Below are 20,387 nucleotides of genomic sequence, written 5' to 3'. Positions count from 1 at the left end.
GGCACCTTGTTGCTGCATCCTCAGCAAGGGTCAGTGCTGTGTCTTCACATAGTGGAAAGAATAGAAGGGGCCAACTGTCTCCTTTGGGCCTTTTTTTAAAAAGGCACTAATGCATTCACAAAGGCAGAGCCCTAATGGTCTAATCACCACTTAAAGGCACCTCCTCTTAATACTGTTGAATTAGGGATTAAGTTTCAACATGAATTTTGGAGGGAATACAAACATTGAAATGATTATACGTGTTTATTTAATCAAGTATCCAACAAAAGCAAATAATTCAAGCCCCAAATTCACTGCATCTTTAGTAGATAAGCAGAGTTTTAAATTACGATTGATCTCCTGTTAGGAGGAATGCATGGATTTCCACAAGAAAAAACTGTACTGAGGAGAAACTTTCCACAGTAATGTGCCACTTTTCAGTCAACGACAGACCACATATATGAGTCCCATAAGATAATACTATATTTTTACTGTACCTTTTCTATGTTTAGATATGTTTAGACACACAAATATCATTGCATTACAATTGCCTACAGTATTCAGTACAGTAATATGCTGTATAGATTTGTGGTCTAGGAGCAATAGCCTAAGTGTGTAGTAGGCTGAGCCATCTATTTTGTGTTAGTACACTGTGATGTTCAGAGAAGGATGAAATTGCCTAAGGATACATTTCTCAGAATGTATCCTGTTGTTCGGTGACGCATGACTGTATTCCATGAGCACTATAATCACTATCATAGTAACACATTAGGAGAGAATTCTCATTTCTAAATCCAATATAATTTATCACCCATTAGTTCATACTCTACTGCTTTGATTGCTTTTCTTTGGTTGTGGCTACCTGCATACAGCAGTAAAGTTTCAGAAAAACTGAAGTCGCAAAAGGTCAATTACTCAATGAAGGAAAGATAAACCATTGCATTGGGGGACTAGAAGATACTTTTAAAAGTTCTCAGATTATCAATTTAATGATGTGTTTCTATGTAGTGAATAATGCCTTAAATTCTTGCCAAGAGTATTTAGAAGGAAGTTGTCAGAAGTATATCAGCTAACTCATTTTTTTTTATATCACTGCTAATGGTGTCATTCACACATTGTGCAACCCATAATTCCAGATTTAATTCTACCAAAAAATATAGGTCATTGCAAAATGCCATATTAAAACTGCCAATGCATGACAGGAAGATGGGGATGCAGACAAAGCAAAGGATGACACCAATTCCTTTTTTAAAGAAGCAAGATAGGGATTGGACAAAAAGGCTGAGCCATTTTTAATGGATACTTTTGAGGGAGTGTTAATTCCAATTTAATTAAAATGATGCATTAATTTAAAATTGGGATAACTGGTTGCCCTCGACTGCACCTGGGTTGCGCCAGTGCTCTCGGATTAACCTAATTGTACAGAGGTGCCCTTGTTTTCTAACTTCATGCACAAAGCATTGGAAATTATTTGTTTGCTTTTTCTTTTCCAAGTAAATCTTTTTCCAGTTATGCATAAGGGAAGTTTGAGGCAATGGTTAAAGGCACTTAAGTTATAATTATTGCTGTTATCATTAACATTAAGCACGGGTATGGCTTTGTTGCAAGTTACCCACCTACACCTGCAAATCTCTCTTGCTAGCACACGCCCCAGCTCTCTCCACCCGCAGTGGTCCGTGGCTGGACCGCTTTAAGTCACTGAGCGGGCTGGGCTCTGAAGGAGGTCGGTCCCGCTCCTCCCAGACCCAAGCGTAGGGCTAGGGAAAAGCTAGGCGGGAAGGTCATTGCACTCCCAGGCCCCAGGAAAAGGGCCCAGGGTCTCATCATCTCTTACTTTCGGGCAAAACTTCCCACATCGCGACCTTCCCTCCCTGGGGCACTCTGAGAACACACCCAGTCACCTAGCGCGCTCCCCAGAAGTCGGCTTGGCACACAGCGCACCCCAGCGGCCGCGCGGCCTCCTTCCAGCCGCCGCCACTTGGCTTCCGGAGAGCTCGCCGGGCGCTGCCGCTGCCGCCGCCGCCGCCGCCTCCTGGGAACCAGGGGACTGAAGAGCCTGCGAGAGCGGAACACTGCCGGACCCCGGGTGGGGGGGGCGCAGCAGCTGCGCCTGGCCCCGCCCACCACACCTGGGCGCCCGTAGAACCGCGCGGGGCGGGGCGGGGCAGGAGGCTGGCCTGGCGCTCCGGCCGCTTTGTCGAAAGCCGGCCCGACTGGAGCAGGACGAAGGGGGAGGGTCTCGAGGCCGAGTCCTGTTCTTCTGAGGGACGGACCCCAGCTGGGGTGGAAAAGCAGTACCAGAGAGCCTCCGAGGCGCGCGGTGCCAACCATGGAGCGGGCCGGCCCCAGCTTCGGGCAGCAGCGACAGCAGCAGCAGCCCCAGCAGCAGAAGCAGCAGCAGAGGGATCAGGACTCGGTCGAAGCATGGCTGGACGATCACTGGGACTTTACCTTCTCATACTTTGTTAGAAAAGCCACCAGGTAAGAAGAGGACCCACGGAAGACCCGGGGCTGATTTCTCTCCCCTGTTGAATTGTGCCCTTCGTTCACCCCTGTTCCCAGGCCCTTTGCTTTTGAAGTAGGTCCTCGGTCCTGTTACGAGGTAGAAACCTCAACTCTAAGCGAGCACAGTCGAAAAACTCAAGTGTCGGATTTGATACAACTTGCTCACAAAGTTCAAATACAAAAATGTACTTGCCGACCTCCCACCCTCACCCCCGACCCTCTTGGTATTCCCCGGGAACATGATTATTTTCATACATCCGTGCTCACGGGCCTTCCCCTAGCCCCTCTCTAGCCCTCTGGTTCCCCAAAATCCAATCAGCAAAACCCAAACAGTTTCTGAGCCCCTTCCCTGCAGCTCCGGAAGCACCATTTCCAAGTCGGTCTTGATGGCTCCGCTCCTCCCCCGTCCCCCCTCGCCCTGGCCCTGGCTGGGCGGGGAAGCTGGGGTGAGGGACGAGTCCACGGGACAGCCCAAAGGCAACATGACGGAACCTTGCCAAAGTGAGTGCGGTTGCCTTTTCCCCCCTTCCAGTCTCCTGCTTGTCCCGCGCGCCTCCTTTCACTCGCTTTTCCGCCGAAGGCTGTGCCGCCAAAAGTAGAGCTCTGCAGAGGGGTTTGCGGCGTGCACACAAAGGGCGCAGGGGAGGCGCCGCCTGGAGCGGACCCCAAGGGGCAGCGCAGACCCCAGAGGCCAGCTCTTTCTGGTCCAGAGCCAAGCGCCGGGGCGGCCCTTGCGGAGGGCGGGGAGGAGGGAGCCTGTCCTTTTGGAGGCGGCTGCGCAGCGGGCAGTCGGGGCGCTCGTGGGAAACGCTCGCGGGAGAGTTGGGGAGGAATTGAGACTGGGAGCAGAGGGACAAGAAGAGTGGAGCAGAGAGTGCTTGGCGGGCGGGTGCCCCGAAGCCTGAGGAATTGATGCATAGTCGGGGTGCGTGGACTCCAGGACGCGCCCCTTTGCAGAAAGAGTCCGTGCCCCGCTGCCGCCTGCTCTGGGCAGCGGCCGTCGGGCAGCGGGTGCTGGCCGTCTTGGCCGGGAGGGTGACACACGCCCGGCAGTGATGGTCGAGGAGCCCGCCCGGGTTCGACGCCCGGGTCCCACTCGCCGGCGCGCGGCCGCGGCTCTGCCGGTCGCTCCCCGCCAGGGGGCGGCGCAGCGCGGGGCGAGCGGGAGGCGACGGGCGGCGGCGCGGAGGCCGGGGCCGTGAGGGAGCTGGTTCTGAGTCGCCGACCTCACCTCACCTCACCTGCGCGCGTTGTTGCCCCTACGGAGCCTCCTGGAGTCCAGGATCGGCGGAGTTCGAAAACGAACTTCCCACGTTTGCTATGTTGCCCTTTGGAGACAAAACAAGGTACTTCCTTCAGCATCCCCCTACGTCCCTTCCCACTTTTTCCGGGGGCGCGGCGGGTCTCGGGTGCTGGGTGGTGGCGCCCCGGTGGCACCAGTGGGACGATGTATCATTGAAAATTGACTGTATAACTTTTGTTGTTGTTGTTATTCTTTGCTCTCTTGCAGATGTATTAATAAGGGTCTTAAATTGGGCCCTTTTTAATCTTGTTTTGTTTTGTTTTGTTTTGTTTTTTTCCTAAGGAACATCCAGAGTTGGTGTCAATTTAGTCACTTTCAGGGTTTTTTGACAGAGGGGAAGGCTCCGGGATTAATCTTTTCAATTTAATAACCCAGCCCTTCTTTTAAAATCGTCTTCCCCCGCTTTCACCTTCTTCCTTCAAAATCCTAAATCTTGAGCGCCCAGAGGATAGCCCTGAAAGGGCACTTTTTTGCGAGTTTAGCGTGAGACACTAAGGCCATGGAGGTCTAGAATGATCGGTTGCTGTCGACTAACAGTTTTCAGGGGTCACCTGCCCCTCTGAGGCCATCTGCACCCACTTTCCTTTCACTCTGCGCATTCCCAGCCTTCTGCTCTCCTTGAATTACAGCGCATAGAATGATCAGGGGGCCAGAGAACCAGGCCGATTTTTAAAAGTATGTATTGGACCTGTTCTTTAGGCAGATTATAAACAGTTTAAAGAAAAAAAGTTATTGTTTAATAAATCAGCATAAATGTCCTTTCTTCGTTCCCTATTTTTCTTTTAAAGATGTAAACTAGGGATGGCTTGTTGGTCGTTTTTGACTAGTCATAGATAGGAACACTGCATTTTCAGAACCTACCAACACTTTGAAAGTGTAGCAACATTTTAATGGAAAATAAATGGAAAGAGCTGAGTTACATTTCTTTTCCCATTACTTTTTCTCCCAAGCAGCATAGGATCAAAATCCTATTTCTCAAATTTACCATGCTCACTGTAAAATTTAGATCATCTGAGGCTCTAAAAAAACTTTTAAAAAATTTTCGGTTAGAGTTTTTAAATTACAGTTGATGTTGGCAACAGGCTGAACACTTTCTGTGATATATATATGTATGTGTGTATACATATTCTTAAGAGGTTATGTTGAGTGTAAGTTGGAAAATGAAAGTGTAAAATATTTAATAGTGCAGGTCCTCAATTTTAAGAGTTATAATAAAGTGCTGAGAGTTGTCAGAGTAAAGAATATAACCTAAGAATTTGTGTGTAGCCAGAGGTCTTTCATGAAACAATATTCCAATTTGGTTTTATATTTGGTGGCATTAACAGGAGACTTAAAATGTGAATAAGAGGATGGACATTTGTTGATTATAAAAATGCAAACCACTAACCCCAGTGTGGTTCACATTTTGTGGTAAAAACTTATTGCATACGTTTTAACTTTACAGCTAAGGATTTTTTTTTTTAAAAGTAGGAGCTCACATTACTTTGCTTTTCCCCTCTTTTTACACTTTGTAAGTGTAAAATGAATATTGTATGTGATTCAGGAAACCCATGAAACAAAATAGTTCTGTAGATGCATGCGGCATGTTTTAAGATTTAAAATATATTTATATTCACCCAGATCGTCCATCTGCACCAGTAATCAGGCTTGCTGATAAAAACAATTTCTGCATTATTGTTGTCATTCGACATTCATGCATGATTTTCCATCCTTTTCTCAGACTAAATGATCTACACTCAATGGTAGTTATTGAACATCAAGGTTCTGGCATTCCTAAATTCTCAAACACCTGTGAATTTGGGTTGACCTTGAAAGCATTTATGCCATTATATTACATTGTTTACTATCACTGTCTTCAAGTAGAGAGCTACGCATCTTATTAAAAGCTATAGGTTGGGCCTGGCACGGTGGCTCATGCCTGTAATCCCAGCACTTTGGGAGGCCGAGGCGGGCAGATCACGACGTCAGGAGTTCAAGACCAGCCTGACTGACCAACATGGTGAAACCCCGTCTCTACTAAAAATACAAAAATTAGCCAGGTATGGCGCGCGCCTGTAATCCCAGCTACTAAGGAGAATCGCTTGAACCCGGGAGGCAGAGGTTGCAGTGAGCCAAGATTGCTCCACTATACTCCAGCCTGGGCAACAGAGTGAGACTCCATCTCAAAAAAAAAAAAAAAAAGCTATAACTTGGAGCTTTTTAGTTATCACAACCTGTTTATGTCCATTTGAAGGTGTCAATTGAATGATTCAGAACATAGTCGGTTGGCATAAAAATTAATTTGAGGCCAATAAATCACATCTGGAAAACTCCCAGGTCACTATTGTAGACAATTTGCAGTCCTGAAGGCCTCAGCTACTGTGTTAATTGAGGGCTTTAATGCGTATGCCTTTTACAACTGAAGCTTTCCTGGTGCTAATGCTGCTTAACAGCTGTTGTTATTCTTGACAGCATATTAGAATAAAGTTACCTTTCATTAATTACTAATCAGCTCTGTGATTGTGGGTGATGTTTTAGGTCATTTAATATTGTTAAGGATGACATGATTGACTTTATTGCTTTGTTTTGTACAGGCAAAAGCTCGAGAATATTTGGCATATACTGGAAATAAGAGATATTAAGTGAGGGCAAGTTTTTATGACAGCTTGGATCAAAGTCCAGAAACAGACGTTTTACACTCCCATATAGCTTTCTATGATAGACTTTATTTGATACTGCAAAGCTGTGCTGAATTAATTGAGGTTCCTGGTCCTGTGTTTGGAATTCCGTCCTTCATTTTTTTTCCTTGTAATTCTTCTCTCACTTCTAAAAGCTGTAGCATTTTTATTGCACGGTATTTACAATACAATCAGATTATGTATATAAATATTGCTATGTATTTTTTTAAATTATTGTTTCTATAATTATATAGGAATATAAACTTTCCACAATTTTCAGACAAATGAATTGTTAAGCATATTTTGTGAGGCAGTTGTTAGTGTTGATGATAATAAAACCCTCTGAGCATTGACCCAGTCTAACTTTGATATTGTTTATAGTATTTTTATAATGGTAATTCTGGTGCAATAATGGCCTTTTTTTCTTATGTTGTTCATAACCAGGGTCCATATAACCAGCTCTAAGCTGCTTTTAGTGTCCTTGAAGCACTCTTCTGGATTGCATTCTTCCTGCCTGGAGAAATCCATAGGAGCCCCTGAAATAATGTTTCTCATTGCTCTTCTATCTCTAGTGTTTTCAAAGTTTCAAATTCAGACCCATGTTAGAGCCTAAACTACATGATTCCTAAAAATGTGGTAGAATTAATGCAATGGCAATTAGTGTAGATGGATATCTTCAAATAAATCGATTTGCTTAGTATAACACAAACTTAAATAGGCTTGTGGTATCATTCAGTAGCTTTTTTTCAGTCTGTCATCTGATGATCTGTAGAAATTGTCAATATTTTCACACGTTTATGTCCTCAACACCTCAAGATGAGGAAATTTTTAGTATTTTGATTATGCTATGCAACCAAATTTCCTTTTTAAATTATTCTGCTTAAATAAATGATTTGACTCTGGTCTGAAGTATTATTTCTTTTGAAATATTTGGAATTCTGTTAAGGTTGTATAGGTAAAGCTTGTAGCTTCGCCCTTATCTGATTATAGGGAGTGTGTCCTACTTTGAGGCACCCCTTCCTCTAGATTTGAAAATACAAATTAACTTAGAAGTTAAACCTATAATTGCTGTGTCAAGCTATATTTGTTCTTTGTTCCAACAGCCAATTGTGGGATAAAAACCTCTTCCTAGGATAAAAAAACCTTTAGTAAGGACTGTAGGACAATTAAATAAATCAATGAGTTGATTGATAGTGAAGGGTTGAAAAATGACTAATTTGTGAATTTAGGATGCAGACTAGTTACTGACTTTGCAGGACTTCCTATGAAATTAGTTTAGCTGCATAGATGTAGATTCAGTTGGCCACTATTACAGCTGGTGAATGTGGCTTGGAAATATCTGTTATACCAGGTTCTCAGGGAAAAGTGCCTGTGAGCCACATACCTAGGAATAAAAATTGAAGAAAGTCTTTCCATATGAGTCATTCATTTGATATTTAGCTCTGTAATCTTATTTACTGACTGATATTCTCATTTTAAATTACTTTTTTTTTTTTTTGCAATGTAAGTGCTTAATTCATTTTCTCTGAGTGGTAGGAATTTATATTTGTTGCCAACCAAATGTTTAAGGTAGGTAAAGCAAACTGAGTGTTAAGTTTATAAGAATCATTTTGATAAAAATTCTAAAAATATTTTAAAGCTTTTTTTTTCTTTCTTTCTTTTTTTTTTTTTCGAGACGGAGTATTGCTCTGTTACCCAGGCTGGAGTGCAGTGGCGCAATCTCGGCTCATTGCAAGCCGAGTTTACGCCATTCTCCTGCCTCAGACTCCCGAGTAGCTGGGACCACAGGTGCCCACCACCACACCCAGCTAATTTTTTATATTTTTAGTAGAGACGGGGTTTCACCATGTTAGCCAGGATGGTCTCGATCTCCTGACCTCGTGGTCCACCCACCTCGGCCTCTCAAAGTGCTGGGATTACAGGCGTGAGCCACCGCACCCGGCCTTTAAAGCTTTTAAAGATATATTTTCTCTGGTTTTTAGTTTGCAATGAAAATGCTTTTAAATGTCTTATGTACCATTGTTAGATTTTTTAATCTTCAGGAGAGGGGAGACTTTTCCCTTGATTCTGAATTATAAAGTAAGATTAACTTTTTGCAAATTTTCTTCTCTGAATAATTGTATTTTACCTAAAATCGGGAGAGAAAGGATCACCATTTGATATCATGTTCATAGTGATAATTATAAAAAATAAGAATTATCTTCTCTACTTTTAGTTGAATACCTATACTGAAAATATACAAAGAGAGAAGACCCTGACATTCTGAGCTGATGAAATAATTAAAACACACACACAGGATCACTGAAATTTAGAGTTAGTAGGGATCATATAATCTCATTTTTCTTTTCTTTTTTTTTTTTTTGAGATGGAGTCTCGCTCTGTCGCCCAGGCTGGAGTGCAGTGGCGTGATCTCGGCTCACCACAAGCTCCGCTTCCCGGGTTCAGGCCATTCTCTTGCCTCAGCCTCCCGAGTAGCTGGGACTACAGGCGCCCACCACCATGCCTGGCTAATGTTTTGTATTTTTTTTTATTGGAGATGGAGTTTCACCTTGTTGGCCAGGATGGTCTTGATCTCCTGACTTGGTGATCCCCCCGCCTCGGCCTCCCAAAGTGCTGGGATTACAGGCGTGAGCCACCGCGCCCGGCCAATCTCATTTTTCAAACTTAAGTAATGTACTCCTATTAAAGAAAGACATTCTTTTTGATTTACAATATATTAGAAAGCTTTTGGTTGCAAGTGACAGAAACTCAACTTGAACCCATAGAGAATTGATGCACATAATTTTAATTGCTTGCGGGATTGGGTTAGCTGTGAATTTAGCTAATCAAATAATGTTGCCAAAATTCTGTCTGTCTCTGTGTCTATCTAACTATCTATCTGTCTGTCTATCTATCTATGTATCTACCTATCTCTATTTATCTTTTCATCTATCTACTCTGTTTACCTGCCCTTCCTTGCATCTATTTATCTGTCCATGTATCCATTTGTTCATGTATTCATCTATCCATGTATCTTTTGGCCCTGTGCTGTGTTGGCTTTATTTTCTTGCATGCTTTCTTCATGTGCTGAGAGTTTCTACTTGTTAACTGTATGTGGGTCTTAAACTTCTGATATTAGAGAGGTGCCTTCTTATCCATATCAGTCTTCCCCAGATTACCCTGGTCTCACCTGGGTCACATCCCAACTCTGAACCAATCATTGTATTCGGGAGAGTAGGGTTGTTTGACTGTTTTGTTGGGGCACGTAGCCCATAAGGTGATATATCATTGGGGAGGGTACATTCCCAAAAGAAAGTGATGTGGGCAGACCCAGAAGTTCTAGATGTCTACCATAACTAGTGTTGACTTCCTTTTATTTTAATGTTAGTGAAGTGTGGAATTCTTAGAAGTAGAATAAATAAAAGCAGATATAATTTAATCATAGTTACAACATTTATGCAACTGTAATGCCAAAATACATTCTCAGTTAATTACGAACAAAATGATAAAACCACAGCCAAATGCAGATTTACAGCATTCATTAAAACACTCTTGCAAAGTAGATATGGTTCTAACTATCTGAAAAACAGTATGGTAAGTCAGCTGGCCTTTGCTACAATTTGGCCTATAATGATTTCACTTCTCCCACTGGGTCTCTCTGAACAATCATGAAACTTATTCCTCTAGCACAGCATACCAGCTTTCATTTTTTACTTGCTATGAAGGCATATATGCATATTAAATTTACGTCTTTTATTTTCTCATTAACACAAATATAAACCTTAGAACTAAAATTGCAGGGCAGTAGTTGGTAATAAGATGGTCTTCCCAGTAACTGAAAGCAATTTCTTTCACTTTCTTTTGTTTTGATTATGATTATTGTGAAAATATAAAATTAGAACATTTTATAGAACAAAGTAAAGATCTTCAAAACATACTTGTTTTGAATTCTGTGGGCTCTCAAACCTCAGATAAATGCCATTGTAGTCCAGTCTCTCCCATATCTAAACTGCAAAGCCAACTGATTTACATGTTTAGTGCATAGATTTGAGTTATTGTTTTCTTTCAGAAGTGGTAGGTTTTCCTTTAAGCAACTTCTTTTATACCATGTGTTGTGAATGTACAGAAAATTACAAAATATTTTGTCCCTTCCAATTCTCAGTCAAATTTGAAGTTAAAATCATATGAAGCAATTCTGCATTTTAAGGTTCTCAGATGTTTTCATAGCTGGAGCAAACTTAGAAATACTAAATAACTTTGGGCAGACTCTTCATTTCCTTACCATGCCAGACCCAAGCGAACTACTCACTGTAACATCAGAGTAGAGGTTATTGGAGGATATCACTTAGAGGTGTCCAAAATCTCCCGTTTTGTTTAATAATAGTCTGTTAATCTCTTAATCATCTAAACCATTGCTTCTCAAAAGAAGATGTTGGCATTTGGTGGTGACACTTTTTTGTTGTTAGAGGCTGTCTAGTGCATAGCAGGACATTTAACATCCCTGAACTCCAGACACTAAATGCCAGGGCCACCCCCATCCATGTGATGGAAAATCTATTCCCACACATTTCCAAATGCCCCTCAAGGGTTGGCACCACTACTTGATTAGGAGCCACTGTTGTGAACCCTTTGAAATTGATTTCTGTTTATGGTGAAGGGCCCTAGATAGGACAGCCTTAGGCTTCAACCCCAGACCTACTTTTCTAAGAGGAAGACTTTAGGTGCATTATTTACTCTCTCTGTAAAATGGAGATAATGTCATTTACCTCATAGTGTTCATTAGAAAATTAAAGGAAATAATGCGTGTTTCCTTATCTTTTTAGTGGTAATTTTCAGTAGTTTACCATTTTACCTTGAGCATCATCAGTGCCTTAAATGTAATCACAAACTTTGATAGGCATTTCCTTATCCTGGTAGATGGGAATTAAGTTCTGACAGCATAGTGATTTCATAGACTTTAAATGTCATTTTCATTTTTTAGATGAATTTTATTAATGGTTCGAACAGAAGTTTTTGTGGGATTGTGTAAGGTACTGGAAAGGGAACTGGAATGGGAGCCCAGACCCCCAGATTTTGTTTCCAGCTTTGCTATTAGCTAACTTTGTGACTGGCTCAAGTTAATGAACCTCAAACTTTAAGACGGGAGGTGAAAGAGGGTGAAGACTCAAGGCGGAGAGATTCATAAGTGAGCTTAAAAATCTCTTTCAGCTGTAAGAGTTCTTTTTTCTCACCAGGAGAGCCGAGTATCAGTTTCTCAGATTGAATAGTTTCATTCTTTTAAGTATTTTTCCAAATTTGAGTAGTGGATCCAGGTCAAATTATGCAAACAACGTAACTGAAACTGTATAAAATAAGGATCCAAGAGCAGGAAAAGTAGCCAACATAATTTTTTATGTGAGTTATTTTGTGTTTTCCCTAATTTTAGCAGATTTCCATATAAGTTATCAATCATACTTTCCAGTCAGAAAATTTAGTATACTCTTTGCAATGCTGGTATTAGTGATTAATTCACATGACTAATGAAAAAGGCATTGAAAAGAGAAAAGAGGATGGCATTTTAGTAGCTGACTTATAAACACAAAAATACACCCTGCAAATCTCCCCCAAAAGTTACTGCTCAATGGACTTGCTATATGGACATTTTTGAGGTCCAAGGATTGGTATCACCCTACTTTTAGGATTTACCCAAGTAAGTACCCATGGATAAGAACTAAAACAGCCAATTTAATCCATAAATTACCTATAGCAGAGTGTTAAAGCGTTGTTTTATCAGATATTAAAACTGTGCTCCAGTTTAGAATTATGAAGTATTGCTATGGTGTTCATCATAGGTAATTATTGTATTTTTTTTACATTTGTTGTCAAACAGTTTTAACTTTTATATTTTGGGAAAAAATAGTCCCCAAATCTATAACTTATTTTTGACAAAAAAAAAGTCTCTAAGTAGTACTGAAAAAAACAAATTATATTCTTGCATTTATTTTTTTCAGTTAAATGTTTATCACCTAATCTTAATATGAAATTCAGAAAATTTTGTTATATGTAAGTGTAGATATTAGTCTGAGGAGTCCATTTTTTAAATTGTAATTTGAAAAAATACATGAAAACAGCCCTCTCTCTTTTATTTTAATATGAAATACCTCTGTAGAGAAGTTATTGTTTTTAAATTAGGGGCTTAGGAAGAAGCAAGAGCCAACATCTACTTATTCTGCTGTATAAATCCATTAAATAATTTTTCTTTATTTAAAAAAACCAAAAACTTAATCAGTTTAAAAAATATACTCCACTTAATATTCAGTTAACTTAAAAACAATAACTATCATGAATGAAACACTGTGTATCTGACTCCAGCATCATTTCCTTTACTTTTATCATGATCTCCATTTTACAAAGAGAGTAAATAATGTACCTAAGGTCATATTCTTAGAAAGAGGTGATTCTGGGGTTAAAGCCTAAGTCTGTCTCATCTAGGGCCCTTAATCACTGTGCTATACTGAAAGTCAGTGTCAATATTAATGCAAGCAAAGCAAAGGCTCATAGATTTAATGTCATGAGGTTTCTAACTCAGGAAGAGGTTAACATTTTCTTCTACGGCCTCTTTCTGTGGAAGCACATTACTTAATGATGTGCCTAAAGACTGCCCAAGTGAGTTTAGTTTCCATATATAATTTCAGAGTATAAAAATTGGGAAATCTCAAATGACATTTTAAAATAGAGTGGTTGAAAATTTCGGTACTAGGCCATTATAATTATCTTTTTAGCATTAGAACACAAATACCCTAGTACAGTATATTTTCAAAGGATTTTTATCCTTTGATACATTATTTTAGGCCAGAGTGCAAAACGTATTAAACTAGTTGCTCTACGAGTAGGTTTCACCTAGTTATACTTTTAACTCGTGAGGGTTATTATGTTTATATCAAAAGTTTACTTTGCCTTGTCAATTTTTCTTCTCTTTTCCTTACTTTTCTAGAAGCCAAGAAATATTCTATAAACCTTATAAAATATTTTAATTAATTTTCCATTTCAAGACATCTGGAATATTGAATATGTATTTTAAAGCCTTTCTGTCTTTTTCAAGATTCATTTTGTAATGTGAGTGAGCAGTTCCACTTTGGTAGAAAGTAAAGTTATTGCCACAGGGAGACCCTTCGGACACAGACACGTGTGTGCGTGTGTGTGTGTGTGTCCCTTTAGCTAATTATATTTGAAATGCAGTTCCAGGGCTTGCATCCCTGCATCCTGTCAACAAGTTTTGTAGTCCTATTTAATACTTCTAGATAGAGGGCATTTGGAAGAAGCCGTGACTTGTGTAGATTAGTGGAAAATTTCTAAAAACCCAAAACATAAGGTGTAGTTTTCTATTTTGTGATAGGTTTATAACAATCTTGAGTGGAAGCGATAAATTGGAAAGGGGGGAAGGTTTTGATTCTTCCCAGATTATATGCCATACAGTTACATTTCATTTTTTTCAATGAATATTATTAATCAATTTATAAACTTTTTAGAGACTATGAGATGAAGTGTACCCAATATGCAATACAAATCTATTTAAATATCCATAAAAATGTATTACAATACTAACTTGGCACTATTTAATTTAATCATTAACTTAATTGAGTCCATCATTTTAAGAGTGCCACACTTTTCATTTAGTTACAAAATATGAGCACATAGTATGTGTAAAATGAAATAGCATTGTATTTTTGCCGTGTGTAATTTTGATAAAATAAACTCTTTGTTAAAACTATTGTAAAAGTTGATAACCATTCACCTTCTAAGCTTCCTAACCTCCAGAATTCCTTTTTTTTTTTTATCATTCACGAATGAATTTGTTCATCCCTTTGTATTACTAAAGACACAAAATGTCTGTCAACTTTCGCCTTTTCCTGCAGCAGCTGCTGGAACCAGGGTAGTGCACATGCTCATTAGTTTTGCTGGGTGCTCTACTCACACAATAACATCATCCTCTTGACAGGTGCGGTGCTGTTAGCTTCATGAAATCAAAATGTGTTAAACATTATGCTTAATGACACTGATTTTTATATTAAATCATTATTTTATAAGCAGTTTGAGCTGCAAGAGTCTTCTGTAAAGTAGAATATCTGGATAATAAACTTCTGATTTGATTCATTGTGTAAAGAGTTTCGAGAGTAAGATTTGAGTCACATTTATGACAAGAGCTCAAAAGGTTTTAGGCAACTTCCATTTGGTTTTATGTCCTACCATCTAATTAATATGAATTTTGGGGTTCTTTGCTTGCTCCGTATGGAAAAGGATATCTTCGTGAGCCTTAAGTATCATCTGTGGAATATGCAAGTTTGAAATAACAGGTTATATCGACATTAGTGTTATCTGAAAGGAATAACTTCCAACGGTGATTTTGGGGTGCCCACCAGGGTTTCTTCGTATCTCAGGATGTGTTGTAAAAGTTTAAAAGCAAAACTAAATTCACTCTTGTTAAAAGGGTATGTAATACAACTCATTTATGGGTAAGAATTTTTTGTGTAATAAAATATGTAGGAAATAAGTGATTGGAGGATAATAAAAGATTTTGGTGAGAAGAGAGGAAGATATGGATGTGATGTAAAACTCAGGCTCTTATCATTGACTATAAATTATTGGCTTCAATGTTCATTGCATTTTCCATGGCTGTGGCTTTCTTTGAAGTGTGGAGGGCCTGTTGTCTTTCATTAATAGCTTTGTAAAAGTTAACTGAAAGACTTCAAGAGGGCAGCTAGGCTTTCTTCTGATTGCTTCCAGGTTTGCAGGGCAGTTAGCAAAGATACACTTATACATGAAAGTGGAGAGTCCAGATTATTAGTACTTGTGGTAAAAGCTACAGATGCTTCAATGGAATTTGTTTCTGTTTTGTTGTTTTTGCTCAGATGGCTATGATGTAATTTAAACTGTTCTCTTTTTTTTTTCTTTTTTTTTTTTTGAACTTAGTAGGAGTCTGTCAAGAATGCCATTCTGAAGTATTTGCTTTGGCCAAGGACTTTTGAGTGTTCATGGTGCATGTTGCTGGCCTATATCCCAACCCAGTTAGGGCCCCTCAACCTGTGGGCTTGTATCACCAAAAACAACCTTTTTACTCTCATCCTTTTTCTGATTCTCTTGGCTGACCTTTTTGAGGAAATAACAGCCATTGCTCCTTAACCCAGCCCTTTGTCTTCATTGGAATGAGTACTAAGGGTGTAAGAGATAGCAAATTCTTAGATATGTTGAAGAGATCTTGAAATGCTTCCATGTGCATTTTCTAATTTGACTCACACATCAACCCTGTGCAGTGAGTGAAGGAGCCAGAAGACTTTTCCCCTATTTAAAAATGAGGAAGTTGAAGGGCAAAAAGAAGTTAAGTTGACAGACCCAAGGACCACTTCTTGTCCTATTCATACTGCAAACTGTGGTGGGGAGTCTTAATAGCCTGTTAATACAGCAGCCCATTTTTACCACTGAAGATCTCAAACTCCAGTGAAAATGAACTCCAGAGAAGTTGTAATTGTTTTAGCATCAGATCCATGTAGTGTTGTAGCTGGAACTAGAATTATCACCTGATTGTTAGTCTAATATTCCTGACTTTATACTCTGCTGAAGACAGTCAGCACCTTACACTTCATAAAAGGCCAGAACTGGTGCTATTTTTCTTGTTTTATCAGGGATAAAATGGAAACTCAGGGGAAGAAAATTGCTTAGTGCTAGTCACACATCCTATTAGTAACAAATGCTGAGATTAGAACCCAGGACTCATGGCTGAAAGTGCAGCCTCTCAATGCTTTGTAATCCCAAGAATTTTTGTCAATTAGTAAATCTCCCTTTTATAAGTAGTTTGCAGTTTGTTTTGTCCCTATGCAATACATTATGTGGGATGGTTTTAGAGCAAAATGAATGAACTTGATTTAAGGAGATATTTTATGCTCTAGTTTTATTGCAAGTTATGAATCCAAGTGCTTTCAAAAGGTTCAATTATCATACACAGGATTACTTTGTGGTAGTCCTTTGTGCGCTCTCAATGATAAAATGAGCGATTTGATAGCCTGGAACTTACTAGTATGCTGCATAGAACCTGCCTTCTCTTTGTTGCCTATCCGCCAACAATTTCAGTTAGGAAAAGCTATGTAGAATGACTGGAGTGGCCAGATCAAATACAGGACAGCCAGTTCATCTTGAATTTCAGATACTACTTATACTGAAAACTTATTCATTATTTATCTGAAACTCATTTTTAGCAGGTTGTCTTTTTTATTTGCTAAATCTAGCAACTCTGGGGATGACTTTTTCTCGAACACATTTATTATACTTCTTTTCAGTACATTGCTTTAGACTTATAAAATGTGACCTGTTTTCAGAGAAACATAGATATGTTGGAATTTAGTTAGATTTTTTTTTTATGGACACTATCCTTAAGAATCTTTGTTCCCTGAGTCCTTAGAAATAGTGTTTTTACCTTAAGAAAACAGTGTGTGGTCCTTTTATGACCTGGAGGTAAAGGATTTCATTTGAACATGTGTCGTAAGTCATCTTTCTCTATGCCTTCTCTGCTTGAATTTGATTTTTACTTCTAGATTCAGCTAGATGTTACGGAGTGCCTTCTTCATGGCAAGCACTGATGCTCTGGGAACTTTTATATTCTTAATAGGGTATAGTACCTGGAATAGGAAACCTGGATTTGATTCCTGGTGTTGCCACCAAATAGTAGAATGGGTGTGGTTCAGACATTTAATTAGCTTCATATTTTAGAAAGTAGGACCATTAATGCCTGCCTCACCAGGTTTAAATAAAATTATGGTTTTTTTTTCAGTAGCACTAATGTGAATATTTTTCAAAACCCCCTAGAATTAATAAAGGGAAAGGAAAATAGAGGTCCTATCCTAGACCATCGAAGTGATTACCCAGTCAGAACTACTACTGAGGTTTCTGGATTTCCATCCGTTGCTTTCTACTTTTATATTGGACATGTTCACAATCATCTTTTCCGTTACTTATTTGTGTACATTTACCTAACTTCATATGCCAGAAACATCCAATATGTATATAACTTCTGAACACAATATAAACTTTTAAGTTTGAAAGGAAAGATCATGATAATTTTTCTGGAGTTGCTCATTATTCTGTCCCTGGTGCCCAATATAGTACCTTGTGGAAATCTCTGTCTTATGGGAATAATTCGTTCCAGAAAAAAAAAGACAATTAAAGTTAATTCTATCAAAATAGAAAAAAGTTCATGAGAAGGTTTTGGTTGGAGCTTTATCTTGAAAAATAGAACCACAGATTATGAAAATAAGTTTATATTTGAGCTATTAATAATAAAATTGAGATTGTAATGACACTCTGCTAATTCTTAGGATGAAACTCTGCTAACTCTGTTAAATAAATTGTAACAGAGTGTAGCCATAAACAATTATCTTCAGTTCATGTTTGGCTTTTGCAGCAGGGTCATAAAGATAATTTTCTCCCTAAACTAGTTTTTTGAATTAATATTTGAAGGCTTCATCAGCTTTGCCCAAGGGGCTTTCTTAATTCAGAATATAATTATTTGACTAATATTCTCTTTGTGAGTATCTGCTATGTCATTATCCTTATTGATTGTTTCTTCAATTGTTAACTGGTCTTTAATTGGGCATAACTCTTAATTGTCAGTGGCTTTGTGTAATAGTAGAAGGATTCTCCAACATCACTTTAGTCTATGTCTAGAAAATCTATATTGTCTTAGTCCATGCTGGCTGCTATAACAAATAGCTTAGACTGGATAATTTATAAACACAAATTTGTTGCTCACAGTTTCAGATGCTGGGAAGTCCAAGATCAAGGCACCAGCAGATTCTGGTGGAGGCTTCTTCCTCATAGATGTCAACTTTTATGTGTCCTCACAGGAGGGCAAAAGGAGTTAACAAGCTCCCATAGGCCCCTTATAAGGGCCCTCTAATAGGTTGTTCTTCCATTGATTTAAAGAAATACCCAAGGCTGGGTAATTTATAAAGAAAAGAGGTTTAATTGGCTTATGATTCTGCAGGCTTTACAGGAAGCATGGTGTTGGCATCTGCCCAGCTTCTGGGGAGGCCTCAGGAAGCTTTCAGTCATATGGAAAGTGAAGTGGAAACCTGCATATCATATGGTGAGAAAGTTATAGCAAGAGCAGGAGCAAGAATGAGAACAAGGACGGGATGGTGGGAGGTACCATGTACTTTTAAACAAACAACTTTTAAACAAGGCCATGAACTCACTCATCATGAAGGGGATGGTGTGAAGCCATTCATGAGGGATCTGCCCCCATAATCCAATTACCTCTCACTAAGCCCCACCTTCAACACTGGGGATTACATTTCAACATGAGATTTTGAGGGGACATCCAAACTACATCAGGCACTAATCCTATTTATGAGGGCAGAACCCTCCCAAAGGCCCCACCTCCTAATACTATCACCTTCGGGGTTAGGGTTCAAGAGAAGAATTTTGTAGGGACATACATTTTAGACCATAGCATATGTCTTATATAAGAATTTTAATTTCAATTTGCAGGTGATTTGTATTTGCATACAGACTGAAGTATTTTTTAAAAATCAGCGGAGTATAGATATTAGTCTTAAGGGCAAAGGCCCACTTCATTTGGCCATATAGATTGTGCACTGCAGAACTCCAAGGAATGCTCAAAGGGAAAGATGTGTGAGAAATGATTTAATTTTATTTGTGGTTGGTTCATCAGTGATTTTGATGTTATGATAACATGTTTTCCTCTGCAAGTATGTAATTACAGGGACTCAGATAATCAATAATGTAGTCATGAGAACTCTCTTTCCCTACCACTGGTGGTTAATACGGATTGTTGATTGACTGACTGAATATGCTACATCTGCTTTTCCTATGTCATTTAATATTGAGTTAATGTCTCTAAGAAAATATCCGTAAGCAACATTTATGAGACAAATAGAGTAATCACAAACACATAATGTAGAACTTTTAGGCACTGGCTCTGCTTAAGACATATGCTGCACCAGGCACTGCAAGTATACAAGCATAAATTAGTCACGGTCAGTTGTGAGACTTACACATCCAAGGGGTGATGAACAGTAATCGCTAAAACACAACGTTGATTTTCTGTAATAAACACACCAGCATTTAGATATTCAAAAGACTGTTGTACCTTTTGATGCTTCAGGAGGCTTCATTTATTTATTCATTTACTTCAAGAAATATTTTGAGGACCTACTACTGTATGTGGTAAGCATTAATCTAAGTACAGGAGATGCAGCAGTGAACACGTAGCACTAATGAAATATCTAGTCAGAGGGGATAGATGATATAACAACAGATTGATAAACAAGAAAAATAGCAGATAGTGAGAATTTAAATTATGTAGGATAAGAACATGATGTGTCAGGACCACTTTAGGTGGAGCAGTCAGAGATGACTTGTTTGAGCAGGGGATGTGGAAGTGGATCAGCCATGTGCCAATGAGGGGAGAGCATCCCAGACAGGGCAGTTAGTGCTTGGTGTGCTTCAGGAGCGCCAAGGATGCTGGCATGGGCGAGAGGAACCTATTTGTAGGGGATTACAAGAGCTCAGGTTTTATTCTCAGTTCAATGAAAAGCCAAGTAGGGTAGCTAAGATGTTGACATACTTTGCTGAAAATTTACTGTGGCTGCTGTGTGGAGAATGGGATTGCAAGGGGGTAAGTATAGGATCAGAGAGATTAATTAGGGGACTATGGCAACAATCCAACTGAGAGATAGTGGGGTTTGGACCAGGGTGGTAGTAATGGAGATAGAAATAAGCAGATTGGGATATAGGATTTTGGAAGTCAGGTTGACAGAACTTGACTGCGCAACTGAATGTGAGAGTTGAAGGAAACAGAAATTTAGAGTAATTCCTACGTGTTTGGTTTGAGTAACTGTGGAGGTGATGGTACTCCATATGTGGGAAAACTGGCAGGAAGTAAGATGAGGCAAGGTGAGATGGGTAGGGTC

General features: G+C 39.4%; 1 protein-coding gene and 1 long non-coding RNA gene across 5 annotated transcripts in view, besides 3 other annotated features; one reads left to right on the top strand and one right to left on the bottom strand.

The window, feature by feature from the left end:
• Window positions 1–224: 224 nt before the first annotated feature.
• Window positions 225–3,190, bottom strand: LOC107986192 (uncharacterized). Its single transcript, NR_165235.1, has one exon. It is a non-coding gene; the product is annotated as an uncharacterized LOC107986192 (long non-coding RNA).
• Window positions 1,843–2,242: a silencer, noted in NCBI's record as "silent region_15657". NCBI's record gives its function as "represses an Ori minimal core promoter by ATAC-STARR-seq in GM12878 lymphoblastoid cells {active_cell/tissue: GM12878}" and the evidence as "EXISTENCE:reporter gene assay evidence [ECO:0000049][PMID:35858748]".
• Window positions 2,176–20,387, top strand: part of PDE5A (phosphodiesterase 5A) — a 134,402-nt gene continuing 116,190 nt past the window's right edge. For 2 of the 4 annotated variants that reach the window (NM_001083.4, XM_017008791.3), the window contains exon 1: window positions 2,176–2,460. In NM_001083.4, coding sequence (NP_001074.2) covers window positions 2,309–2,460 — 152 coding nt within the window. In that variant the 5' untranslated portion in view covers window positions 2,176–2,308. Of the gene's footprint in view, window positions 2,461–2,939; window positions 2,986–3,242; window positions 3,831–20,387 lie in introns of those variants that run through there. The other 2 variants (NM_033437.4, NM_033430.3) reach the window with 2 other exon arrangements.
• Window positions 3,283–3,332: an enhancer, noted in NCBI's record as "active region_21857". NCBI's record gives its function as "activates an Ori minimal core promoter by ATAC-STARR-seq in GM12878 lymphoblastoid cells {active_cell/tissue: GM12878}" and the evidence as "EXISTENCE:reporter gene assay evidence [ECO:0000049][PMID:35858748]".
• Window positions 3,463–3,742: a silencer, noted in NCBI's record as "silent region_15656". NCBI's record gives its function as "represses an Ori minimal core promoter by ATAC-STARR-seq in GM12878 lymphoblastoid cells {active_cell/tissue: GM12878}" and the evidence as "EXISTENCE:reporter gene assay evidence [ECO:0000049][PMID:35858748]".

Source organism: Homo sapiens, chromosome 4 (genome assembly GCF_000001405.40).
Source record: "Homo sapiens chromosome 4, GRCh38.p14 Primary Assembly".
In the NCBI taxonomy this organism is placed as follows: Eukaryota; Metazoa; Chordata; class Mammalia; order Primates; family Hominidae; genus Homo; species Homo sapiens.
This window is presented reverse-complemented; position numbering and strand designations above follow the sequence as displayed.